The sequence below is a fragment of the Homo sapiens genome, chromosome 16 (genome assembly GCF_000001405.40).
Source record: "Homo sapiens chromosome 16, GRCh38.p14 Primary Assembly".
NCBI classification, from domain to species: Eukaryota; Metazoa; Chordata; class Mammalia; order Primates; family Hominidae; genus Homo; species Homo sapiens.
Window position 1 is genome coordinate 55,240,350 of NC_000016.10, and position 13,296 is coordinate 55,253,645.

Below are 13,296 nucleotides of genomic sequence, written 5' to 3' on the forward strand. Positions count from 1 at the left end.
CCCTTCTCCCCTCTCTTTTGACCCTCTTTCCTCTCTTCAACCCCTGCACCTGGAAAATATGCCCAGGGAGTTAGGAAATACGCTACCCACTAGAAAAATGGGAATGCTGCTTTGGGAGAAGGAAACTCAACAGATCAACAGATGAAATATGGAGCCTTCAACGGAAGAGCTGGGATTTCAAAGTCACCCTCCCATGACCAGAGGGGAATGTCAAAATCTTTCCATCCTTAGATCCCAAAGGTCTGTGCTACCCACCCCTATGATCACTCTTTAACCTGGCCTGCCTCAATCCCTCCTCAGCCAGAGGGTCTAACATCATTTCTGCATCTCCTCCAGGTCCCTTCTGTTTTCTCAGGGGAGACCATGGAGTTGCCTAGATCTCTTTTATTTTAAATCCATTCTTCATCTGAAATGAGCCTTTAATGCAAGCCATATCAAATTCTTTTGGAAAGTAGGAAGCTAGACATCATAAATAAACACATTTGGATTAAGTGGGGAGCAGGTCAGAGAGAAGGCGGAATTACAGGATAATTTTTAAGTGGATGCAGCTTTATTCCTCTCAAGAATTTACAGTGACTCTTCCCGCGCTGTCATCCTATGAATCTAACTGCTGACAAATTATCTCTAAGTTGAGGTCCTGCTGGGACTTCTTTGTTGAGTAAATTAGAGGACAGGTTTCCATACTAATTGTAGGCTAGCAATTGTACTAATGACAAAGGAATCCTCCCTATTCATCATAAGTAGGTTGAAGCAGGGTCTGCCTCATTCTCCATCCCCTTCACATAACTGATGCATTGCTCAGGGAGCCTCGGCTTCATGGCTTCAGCAAAAGCCCTGCTCAGCTGGGGCAGCTTTAGGCTGGACTGCAACGCGATCTCGGCTCTCTGCAACCTCCGCCTCCTGGGTTCAAGTGATTCTCCTGCCTCTGCCTCCTGAGTAGGTGGGATTACAGGCGTGAGCTACTGCGCCTGGCCGGCCCTGATTTTTTGTTGTTGTTGTTTGTTTGTTTGTTTGTTTGAGATGGAGTCTCACTCTGTCACCCAGGCTGGAGTGCAGTGGCTCAGTCTTGGCTCACTGCAACCTCCACCTACCAGGTTCAAGCGATTCTTCTGCCTCAGCCTCCCTAGTAGCTGGGACTACAGGCGTGTGCCACCATGCCCAGCCAATTTTTGAATTTTTAGTAGAGCAGGGTTTTACCGTGTTGGCCAGAATGGTCTCGATCTCTTGACCTTGTGATCTGCCCATCTGGGCCTCCCAAAGTGCTGGGATTACAGGTGTGAGCCACCACGTCTGGCCAGCCCTGGGTTTTTAACCAGATTTGGCACCTGTGACTGTAGTCAATGCCCTTTGAAGGTGCTCTCTGCTCATTTCTATTTTTCTGAGAACTGCTCACCAAAGCAGGATGGGGAGGTGGTGGGGAAATGATGGTTCGTACTACATGGCTCACTCCTTTTTATTCACTCAGCACTGAGCAGCTACTATTCACCAGTCATTATAGACTACTGGGTGCTGGAGATACAGTACTAACCAACATAGGGCAAGTGCTTTGTCCTCCTGGAGTTTGCCTTCTGCTCCAAGGCGAAATAAGACGGTTCATATAGTGGCAAGTGCTATGGAAAAGTGAAAGCAGGAAATGGAATTGTGAGTGACAAAGGAGCCAGGAAGAGGCCACTATGGCATCAGAAAGAAGGATGGCGACTTGGACCCAGATGGTGGGGGTGGTGCAGATGGGGAGAAGTGAATAGATTTAACTGATATTTTGGTTATAATATTTGCTGGATTTGATGATGAGTTGATTGAGAGGGTGAGGGATAGTGATACAGAAGAAGGGCAGGGAAGTGCTGGGTAGAGAAGGGCAGGGTCCCTGGCACGGTCTTCACCCTTGGGCCTGTGCCCACAGACCTAAGCGAGGACAGGCACTCCTGTTTTTGCACCCAAAATTTGCATTTTCCAAAACAGCTCCCGCTTGCCATGCCCTGCCAACCCTGTGCCTATAAAAACCCCAACACTCTAGCAGGCACACACACAAGTGGCTGGATGCCGAGAGGAGCAAAGGAACAGAAGAGCACACCGACAGGCACCAGCAGATGAGTGCAGGCCGTCAACTATGAGACAACGTGGAATTTGGCCGGAGGCAGTCAGAGCAGAGTCAGGCCACTGGGCAGCCCAATACCAGGGGAAGATCACCTTCCCACTCTATTCCTCTTCGGGCCTCCCCATCCATCTCACTGAGAGCGTCCACAACTCAATAAAACCTTGCACCCATCCTCCAAGGCCACATGTGATCCAATTTTTCTGGTACAGCAAGGCAAGGACCTGGGATACAGAAAGCCCTCTGTTCTTGGGATAAGGCAAAGGGTCTAATTGAGCTGATTAACACAAGCCACTTGCAGATGGCAAAACTGAAAGAGCACACTGTAACACATGCCCACTGGGGCTTCAGGAGCTGTAAACACTCAACCCTAGACATTGCCATGGGATCGGAGCCCGATGACCTGCCTGTCTGCATGCTCCCCCTAGGGGTTTGAGCAGTAGGGCACCAAAGAAGCGAGCCACACCCCTGTCACACACCCTAGAAGTAAGCCACTTCTGTCACATGCCCTGCCAGGGGGATAAGGGAAAACTCCTCCCATTTCAATAAGAAGAATGAAAGATGATTGAAATGTTTAGCCTGTACATGTGTGGCTGATGGTACCATTGATCAAGCTGGGGAAGGAAGGAAAGGAAAAGCTCTAAGGGGAGAATCAAGGTTCCCAACACATGGGCACAGTTCGAGAGGCTGGGATGAGTTTGTCTCTCCCAGGAATGTGAGGTTAGGACGCACACTATTGGGATAGTGAATGATGTGGCAAGCCATGAAAAGCCAGGGTTGTGAAGTTCAAGGAAAGGCACAAAGGCACAAAAAAATGTGGTCAAAGTCAGCAGAGAAAGCCACTCTGTGGAGGAAGAAAAGTGTGAAGAAGATGCTCAGCTTGCCATAGAGATGCGACACCACCTGGCTTCCAAGGGGCAGCAGCTGCCTTGGTTTAAGATGACTTCCAGTTTTGATTCCTGATCTGCAGAGACCCTATTCTCCTTCCTGCTCTTGGGTTCTGTAATAAGTTGGTTGAATTAAGGGCACCTCTCTGTGCTGACACCCTTTGCTGTGTTAACTCTGTTGTGTCTTCCCACTCCGAGTGGGGATGTACTACGCTACCCTTGACTCTGGGCTCCATTGTCAGACTTGTTTTGGGATGTTAGCAAGTGACCCAGTAGAAGCTTGAGAAAGCACTTGGGCATTTCCACATATGCTGTTGCTCCTCAGCCTTTGACATGAGAACACGCCCCAGCTATCCTGTTGGAGGATGAGACACACAGAACACACCTGGGCCACCCAGGCTGCCCAGCCAAAGCCATTCTAGATTAACTGACCTGCAGCTGACCCAGACGTGTAAGTGATCTGAGCCCAGAAGGACTGCCCTGCTGAAGCAAGCCTAAATCGCTAATCCAGACTTATCAGATAAATTCATGTTATTTGTTTCAAATTAGATAATATTTTAGCTGGTTTGTTACACAGCATTACTGTGGCAATAGGTAACTGACACAGGTTTCATAAAATTCCTCCACAGCTTTCAGAATAACTCCCTAATTTGGGGATTTCTTTTTGCTTAAATTAGTTAGGTCAAGTAATCCCTGCCTAAATCAGTAGAGACCATGCCAAAATAAGATCACACTTCACAGCATGCTGGTATTTGCAGGTGGTGTAAGGACATGGGAATGCTCTCAGTTGCCTGTTATGCCTCAAACTGGGAAGAAAAATATATACTGGGGTGGAGTAGGTAAAGCATTCTAATCATAGCCCTCAAAGAAGAAGAAATATTTAATATTTTATGAACTTTCTCTTCTCATCATTTAAACAACAATAAATGTAACATATCAATTTACATTATGATCCTTTTATTGCATTATAATCAGGTGCCAAGTGGTTAAAGATTTATGAAGAGATATTATTACAAAGGCAGTAATGAAAATGAATGGGCAGTGGGTAGAACCGCTTAGGGGTGAGGGGAGCCTCATAGAAGGTGCCCTGTAGCAAAATGGGTTGCCAGGGAGGTCACGAAGGCTACAGTCATGAAATGAATGGAAGGAAAAAGAATAGCTTGGGGGTAAGTGCAGAGAACACGGAGGAGGGTTTGAGTCCCAACTCTGGCACATAGTAGGTCTGTGATCTTTGAAAAATCATTCAACTCAGCCTCAGAGTTGATCCCTGAAAAGGGCATGATACCCACTCAATGCACTTCATAGGTTCATGGTAAAGATTTTATCACATCCTGGAAGTAAGCACCCAATATGCTGTTTGCTTTGTTATTTATATTTTTAATGCTGTTATAATTATTATTACCCATAGTAATATTTCAAATTATTGAATTCCCAAAGATATTATTATTGTTATTATTATTATTATTATTATTATTTTGAAACAGAGTCTCCCTCTGTCACCCAAACTGGAGTGCAGTGGTGTGATCTCAGCTCACTGCAGCTTCAACCTCCCAGGCCCAGGTGATCCTCCCACCTCAGCCTCCCAAGAAGCTGAGACTACAGACACATGCCATTATACCCAGCTAACTTTCGTTTTTTGTTTTTGTAGAGACGGGATTTTGCCGGGTTGCTCAGGCTGGTCTCAAACTCCTGAGCTCAAGCAAGCCACCCATCTTGGCCTCCCAAAATGCTAGGATTAGTGTTGAGCCACCATGCCTGACTCCCAGAGATATTCTTGGGGCCGCTTCCTTTTATTTACTGAGATGGAATCTAATGGTCCAGCTATAATTGTGGTGTGTGGAAAACCATACTGCAATCCCTTGCCTGGTCCTGGAAAATCCATGAATGAACTGTAATTAATGTCACATGGATTGAACTGTCAGGCCCTGAAGAGGCTCCAACACCCAGCCCTATTCACCTGTGTCCATTCAAGCATTGCCTAAACTGTGGGCACCTCAGTTTCATTTGTGAAATGGGGATAAAGCCATCTCTGCCATAGCGGTAATGAGGAACAAATGTGATAACATTTGCAGCAACATCAAAGTCAGGTTTTTAAATGCAAGGCCATATTCTTTTGTGATATTTTTTTGAATCAGTACAATATGAAGCCAGTCAAGATTGCGATGTCTGGAATCAGAGTTCCTGGGTATGAATGCTGCCTTCACCACTCATATGTCCTCGAGCGAAGGGCTTAACCTCTAGGCTCAGCTTCCTCATCTTTGAAATGGGAGCAGTTCTAGCACCCAGCTCATGTGACTGCCCTGAAGCTTACACGAGGTGGTTCTGGTAGAGTCATGACCCACGCTTGGCACAGCCCATAAGCTCAATAAAATCTCAGCAACCACAGAGAGCTGCATTTCCAGAAAAGTGAGAGAAAACCCAGAGAGTGATGTTGGTCTTGTCTGGGAAGAATGGTGTGTGTATTGAGTAGGGAGGTGTCACTTGCAGGCACAGGGTACTCCATTTGAACAAGCCTACATGAGGCTTCGGGAGACTCCCCCAAAAAAGAATGCACACAGACCATGATGCATAGATACCCCCTCTCCCCCAGTGTGTGACATCAGTTAAACATGGTGAAACACAAAAACAGAGAACATCCAGTTCTTAAAATCAGGGATACCTACTAAAAGATCAGGAGTAATGAAATGTTCTCTTAAAATACAAGTCAGTGGGAAACTAACTCTGTCAAATTTTCTGGACCATTTCTAATGTCTAAAATAGGGGCATTGAAGCTGGGTGTGGTGGCTCATGCCTATAATCCCAGCACTTTGGGAGGCCGAGGAGGGTGGATCACTTGAGGTCCGGAGTTTGAGACCAGCCTGGCCAACATGGTGAAACCCCGTCTCTACTAAAAATACAAAACTTAGCCAGGCATAGTGGCATGTGCCTGTAATCCCAGCTACTTGGGAGGTTGAGGCAAGAAAATTGCTTGAACCAGGGAGGCAGAGGTTGCAGTGTGAGATCGCGCAGAGTGAGACACAGTCTCAAAAATCAATCAATAAATAAATTAATAAAATAAAATAAAATAGGGGTGTCACCAGCAGGCTCTAAAGCAGTGGTTTTCAAAGTGTGGTCTTCTGGACAGCTGCATATATCAGGCTCCACCCAGAGTTATGCAATCAGAAATTCTGGGGGTGGGGTCCAGGTATTTTTGTTTTAACAGCCCTCTGGGTGATTTGATGTGTACTCATTTGAGCATCACAGCCCTAATGGAGAGGAATGGAAGCAACTCACAAACATGCCTGTGGCAATCCTTGGGGACCCAACCCTCCCATTTCACACCCACTTCTGTCTCTCCATCCTCCCTCCTCACACTTATAGATTGTCTTTCTCTTCTTCAAAACTGATCACAAGCCAGTTTGGAGCATCAATTTCTGCATCAAGTTTTTTTGGATACAAGTGGATTTGTTAAGAGTTGTGGGCACATCAGGTGTCTCTGCTATTTTCTTTCCAAGCCCATGGCTTTATGGCACTGTTCTGCCTGTGTCACTGAATCACAATGCATTGTCACAATAAGCTCTACTTTGAGTATTCATCCTATAAATACTTCATATGGCTTGTTTCTTTTACCCCTCATAACAATGTGGTTTGATATCTGGTTTGACATCTGTCAAAAGAGGATGATACTTATGTGGTAGGTGTCATTATCATCCCTTTTGATATATGGGTAAACTGAGGTGCAAAAAGGAAAAGAGTATCTGAAACCACAGAGCTAGTAAGCAGCCCAGCTTGGGCTTTAGCTCATGTAGTCTGAATCCAAGGCCAGTTCTCCTGCCCACCAGGCTATGTGGCCTCCTGAAGATGGGATCATTCGCATTCTTACTAATGAATTAGGAAGAACAGTAAATTTATAATATGAGAACATACACACAAGTCCTGACCCTGTGACTGACCAGGTATATGCCTTGGGCAGAGGCCTTCAGATCTTAACACTCGGTTCTTCCATCTATAAACTGGGGATACTAAATTCTGCCCGGCTTTCCCTCCAGAGTTGCTTACAGGAGCATCAACGGTGATGTGCTGGAAGATACCTTACAAACTGGAGAATGCCTGGTAACTGTAAGTGATTATTATTCTCATGAGATGCCCAAGACTGAGATTGGCTGGTCCTCTGGGTGAAGGTAACATACACGTAGCTAGTGACAATAATTGCTTCCACTTCCTATGGTCACACCCACCAGCATTCCCCGAGCTGCATCCCACCAGACTGCTCCCCTGCTCCTCAAAACTAGAATTGTTTAATGAGGTGGCTAATTTTCCTGGGGTGAGTCTGAAGGTCAGGTGCTACATTTTTCACTTGCAAAAGACAAATCAAGGAGACTGGTGGACTTCAAGTGCAGTGTGATTCAGGCTCCAACAGTATCAGCAGAATTCGTCTTGATTCTGTTTCCCATAGGTTGACTCCATTCTCAAGCATCTGTGTGTATTATTCCATTCTCATGCTGCTGATAAAGACATACCTGAGACTGAGTAATTTATAAAGAAAAAGAGGTTTAATGGACTCACAGTTCCACATGACTGGGGAGGCCTCACAATCATGGTAGAAGGTGAAGGAGGAACAAAGGCATGTCTTACATGGCAGCAGGCAAGAGAGCATGTGCAGGGAACTGCCCTTTATAAAACCATCAGATCTTGTGAGACTTATTCACTGTCATGAGAACAGCACAGGAAAGACTCGCCCCCATGATTCAATTGCCTCCCACCAGGTCCCTCCCACAACACATGTGGATTATGGAAGCTACAATTCAAGATGAGATGTGAGTGGGGACACAGCCAAATCATATCACTGCAGTAGTTTCAGGCTCATATATTCCCAGTGCCACTTCAGAGAAAAAGAGGCCCTCTCTCTGATACCTCAAACAAAGGCCCCAGGGTTGAGTCAGCTTGGTTCTCTGATTGGCCCAGCTTGAGTCATGTGCCCATCCCTAAACCAAACTCCATGGCAAGAAGGATGGAAAGAGTTGATTGGCTTATCCTTGGTCACAGGCCCCTCCCATGGAATTCTGAAGCATATGAACCAAAAGTAAAGGAGGATGAGACTCCCCAGAGCAAAATCAGGGTGGTTTTTGCCTCAAGAAGAACGTATAGAAAATAAAAAAAGAATTGCAAATGATTTTTTTGCCAACTTTTTAGGGAGCAAAAATTGCAAAAAAATTGCCAGAGCCTCTGTGGCCTGGCTCCAGTCCCTCCGCATTCATCACTGAGGGCAGGTGACTTAAGCCTGCAGAGGCAGTGCATGCTTCTTCCTTCAGCAGCTCTCAGAGGCCAGCGGGGGCCCCACAGTAGCGCAACGCTAGATAGGGGCGGATGTGTTTCCTGGCCTTTCTGGAAGGTGGCATCGAGCAAGATAAACAGAGTCTGCTTTTCCTTATTGCTCTGTCATTGTAATCCAGAAACAAACACACCCTCAGATGCCCTGTCAGTATCTTACCAAAGCCACTATAAGTTACTTTATCTCCTCCTTGGGATTTCCTGCTTCTTTTGCTGAGCTCCGTGTGTGCGTGTCTGTGTGTGTTTGTGTGTGTGTGTGTTTTCTCTTGAGGCATCACGATTCAGCAGCATTTTTCAAAGTGTAAGAAGTGTGAACTACAACACTACACAGGATAATTTCAGGTGACACATGATACTTTTTTAGTAGTTGGTATCTATTTTAAAATGTACTAAAAAAAATTTACTGGTGTTAAAATAATAGCTAGCATTTATTGAGTGCTTCCTATATTCCAGGTCCTGTTAAAGGACTTTCTGTACACTGATTTACTCCATCCTCACAACTCTATGAAGAAGGTACTCTTCCTAGCCTCATTGTACAGATTAAGAACAGAGGCACAGGGAGATCAAGTAACTTGCTCAAAGTCACAAAGCTAATAAATAGTGGAACCAGAACTCCATCCCAGGCAGTCAGCCAGTCTGGCTCCAGAGCCACCCTTTATTTTTTTTAGAGACAGTATATCACACTGACGCCCAGGCTGGGGTGCAGTGGTACAATCATAGCTCACTGCAAGCTTGAACTCCTGGGCTCAAGTGATCATCCTATTTCAGCCTCCCAGGTAGCTGGGATTATGGACACGCACCACCCCACCCAGCTAATTTTTTAGTTTTTTGTAAAGACAAAGTCTTGCTATATTGTCCAGGCTGGTCTCAAATTCCTGGACTTATGGGATCCTTCCCCCTTGGCCTCCCAAAAGAGCTGGGACTACAGGTGTGGGCCACCGTGTCTGGGCTGAGAGCCAAGCTTTTAACCACTATGACAAACCTGTGATTTCACAGCTATCATGATAGTGATATCAAGTACCCCTTTCCAGTTAAATTAAAATATAGGAAGTCAATTTATAGGAAATATTAAATAAACATTGGAAAAGGAGATATGGGGATGTGTTAAAATGTTTCTAGGTGGTAAAAAGCATTTGGGAAACCCCAAAATACTTCATGGAAGTCATTATTAAGCCGAACTCCATGGATTCCTAGTGGGTGCAGAAGTGGCCTTCGGGGGAGCCTGGGAACCCCATTATCATGCATAATTTTGTATGTATATGCGCATTTTTCTTAGGAGAGGGCACATTGCTTTCATCTGTCTCAAAGGAGTTTCTGACCAGAGCTGTTGCTAATCTATATAACACCTTTGAGAAAAAGGTGCTCCCTTGGGGAGAATGAATTAGAAAAAGATGCCACATCTTCCTCTAGGATGACATGACCCTGAGCCAAGACACACAGCTCAGCGAGCAGTGCAAGGCCTGGTTTCAGTCCCTCCTTGCCCTCATCATAAGCCCTTGTGATGGGCAGAAATTTCATGGTCATTACTGTGGAACTCCTCTTGACCAAAAACAGATTGAAAAGCACTGCTGAATCCAAAGATAGCCAGGAATTTTCAGAGGGGAACATGAAGGCACTTGGGTATCACAGGATCCTGTCAGAAACTGGAATGATGTCTGGAAGGGGATCAGGGCTGAAGAGTGTGGTCTTTAGGGTTGGATTTTAACACCATGGACTTACTGTGTCACTTAAGGTAAGTCCCCTGCCCAAACTGAGCTGCAGCCCAGATGAGAATCTGTAAGGTGAGGACAGCGTCTTCTATTTCTTCTGTTTGCTCATGGGGGAATCACTGGGTTCTAATGAGATCTGATAACATGAGGAAACAGGATGCCCTCAAACTTTAAAGGAGGATACATTGGTCAGGGTCTGATTTGGAAAATGGGGCCCATTCCAGAGACTCTAATCAATGGAATTGAATGCAGAAAATTAGATACAAAAGTGGTGGAGAACTGCAGAGCCAAATAGAGGGGGCAGAGGCAACTCAAAGCTGGTGGCAGCAGTGCTGGAAGGCCAATGGTAGTGTTACCAGAGTCCACGGCCTGGAGGCAGAGGTTGCCTAGCCCCCAAGCTGGAGCCACAGAGCCCAGTGGAGAAGCCATCCAAAGCAAGAGGGGGTGGGGTGGGAGAGAAATGCCCAGGCTCTTCACTTTCTCCTGTCCTCCAGCCTCCCCACATTCCCTCTCCCTTCTCCCCACAGTTGGCCCACCCCATCCAGAAGTCAGTTGGCAAGGGAACCTGGAAAATGTAATTTTCCAGAGAAGGACAGGAAATGAAGCAGGCACATGGCCAGCATGCCCTGCTTGAACATCTTGAACCAGGGATATGATTTTAGTTGCCTAACTACACATGGAACTAAATTCCTAGTGGTTGAAGTTGATGATACAAAGCAGCTGGTTAGAGTAAGTCTCACAGCAATCAGTCTTCTTTCAACAAATACTGACTGAAAGGCCTACTGTGTGCGTGGCACCACCCTAAGCTCTGAAGCCTACAAACACCTTGTTCCTGCTGCCCTGCAGGACATAGTAGGCTGCCTTCTAACATGACTCTCAAAGATCCCCACTTCCTGGTGTTCCTGCTCTTCTGGAAACCCTTCCCCCTTCAGCATCGGCCATACCTGGTAACTTGCATGTAACAAATGGAATATGCAAAAGTGATGGGACATCACTCATGCCTAGGTTATAAAAGACTGTGATTTCCATCTCTCACATGCTCTCTGATTCTTCTCTCTTGCTCTGATGAAGCCAGCTGCTCTGTTGTGAGCTGCCCTACGGAGAGAACTACTTGCCAGGGAACTGAGGGTAGCCTACACCTGACAGTCTACAAGGAACTGAATCCTGACATTACCACACCAGGGAGTGTGGAAGTGGATTCTCCCCAAGTTGAGCCTTCAGATGACTGCATCACAGCCAGGACCTTCACTGCAGCCTTTGAGAGGCCTTGAGACAGAGCACCCAGTTAAGCCATGCCAAGATTCCTGACACTCCGAAACTGTGAGATGATGAATGTTTGTTGTCTTAAGCCACTAAGTGTGGGAATAATGTGTTATGTAGCAATCAATAACAAATACACCAGATCATGCCAATAAGATGCAGTAGACATTGATGAGTGCCTATGGACAAGAAAAGTAAATAACTGACATTAACATTTCACCCTATACTTTCCAGAGCACTTTAACAGATCTGCTCATTTCAGTCTCATATTCAGTACTATTGACCTTCCACAGGGTATGGGGATAATATCCCCATTTCTCAGATAAAGAGAAGAAGCTCAGAGAAGTTGAGTGATATTCCAGAGAGGTTAAGTGACACCACTAGTAAGTATGAGGCTAGGAAATTCGGGTCTGTCTGACACCCAGTCTTTCCAAGCAAGTGTTCTTTCCGTTAAATAATATCACCTGAAAGTGCTACTGTGAACCATGGTTGAACTGACAGCTTAGACTTAGGGAAAGCAAAGTCAGAGCACCAAAAGAAAAGATTTCTAAAATGTCAATACTTCAGAAATGCATTGAGTCCTAAAACAATGAAGGAAAGGGTAGTCTTTTCAGGAAATGGTGCTGAAACAAGTGGGTATCCACAGACAAAAGGATGAAGTTGTACCTTCCTTACACCATTCCAAAAAAAAAAAAATTTAACTCAAAATGGATTGTAGACCTAAATGTAAGCACTAAAACTATGAAACTCTTAGATGAAATCATAGGAGAAAATCTCCATGACCTTAAATTAGACAGTGGTTTGTGTCTTAGCTATGACACCAAAAATACAAGCAGCAGCAACAACAAAAATAGATAAACCTGACACATCAAAATCAAAAGCTTTTGTGCTAAAAATAATACCATCAAGAAAGTAAAAATGGCATTCACAGATGGGAAATATTTGAAGATTGTACATCTGATAAAGGACTAGTATCCAGAATATATAAAGAATTCTAGCAACTCAAAAGTTAGAAGAAAATCTAATTTTTCAAATGGGCAAAGGATTTAAATAGACACTTCTCTAAAGAAGATATGCAAATGGCCAATGAACACATGAAAAAATGCTCAAAATTATTAGCCATTAGAGAAATGCAAATTGAAACCACAGTGAGATGGCACTTTACCCCACCCCCACTAGGAGGCCTAAAAAGATAGGCAATAACAAGGATGTGAAGAACTCTGAACCCTCATACACTGTTAGCTGTAAGGTAAAATGGTGAAACCACTCTGGAAAACAGTTAAGCACTTTCTCGAACATTAAACACAGATTTATCATAAGACCCAGAAATTATTCTAGGTATATACTGACAAAAAATAAAAACATGTTCACAAAAAAACTTGTACGGGAATATTCATAGCATCATTATTCATAATAGCCAAAAGGCAAAAACAACACAAATGTTCATCAACTGATAAATGGGTAAATAGAATGTGAAATATATATACAATAGAATATTATTTCTCAATAAAAAGGAATGGAGGGCTTATACATGCTACAACATGAATGAACTCTGAAAATACTGTACTAAATGAAAAGTCAAAAAAAAAGACCACATATTGTATGATTCCATTTATATAAAGTGTCCAGAAGAGACAAATCTATAGAGACACAAAGTCAATGAATTGCTGCTAGGAGAAGAGAATGAGAGTAATTGTTAATGGATGTGAGCTTTCTTTTTGGGGCGATAAAAGTGTTCTAAACTTAGTGATAATGATTGTGCAAAGCTGTAAATATACAAAAACCATTGATTCTTATGGTTTAAAAAGGTAAATTTTGAGGTATGTGAATTATATCTCAAAGCTTTTTTAATGCATTGAGAGAACTGTACATTTAAAAATGAATAAGATGGTAAATTTTATGTTGTATGTATTTTACCACAATAAAAAATTAATTGAGATAGATAGATAGATGGATAGATACACAGACAGACAGATAGATAGATAGATAGATAGATAGATAGATAGATAGATAGATAGATAGATAAAGGTAGATACTT

At 44.1% G+C, this 13,296-nt stretch overlaps 1 annotated feature.

The window, feature by feature from the left end:
* Positions 364 to 953: an enhancer, noted in NCBI's record as "OCT4-NANOG-H3K4me1 hESC enhancer chr16:55274625-55275214 (GRCh37/hg19 assembly coordinates)". NCBI's record gives its function as "activates a minimal SCP1, AML or CMV promoter by ChIP-STARR-seq in naive H9 embryonic stem cells {active_cell/tissue: H9 hESC(naive)}" and the evidence as "EXISTENCE:reporter gene assay evidence [ECO:0000049][PMID:30033119]".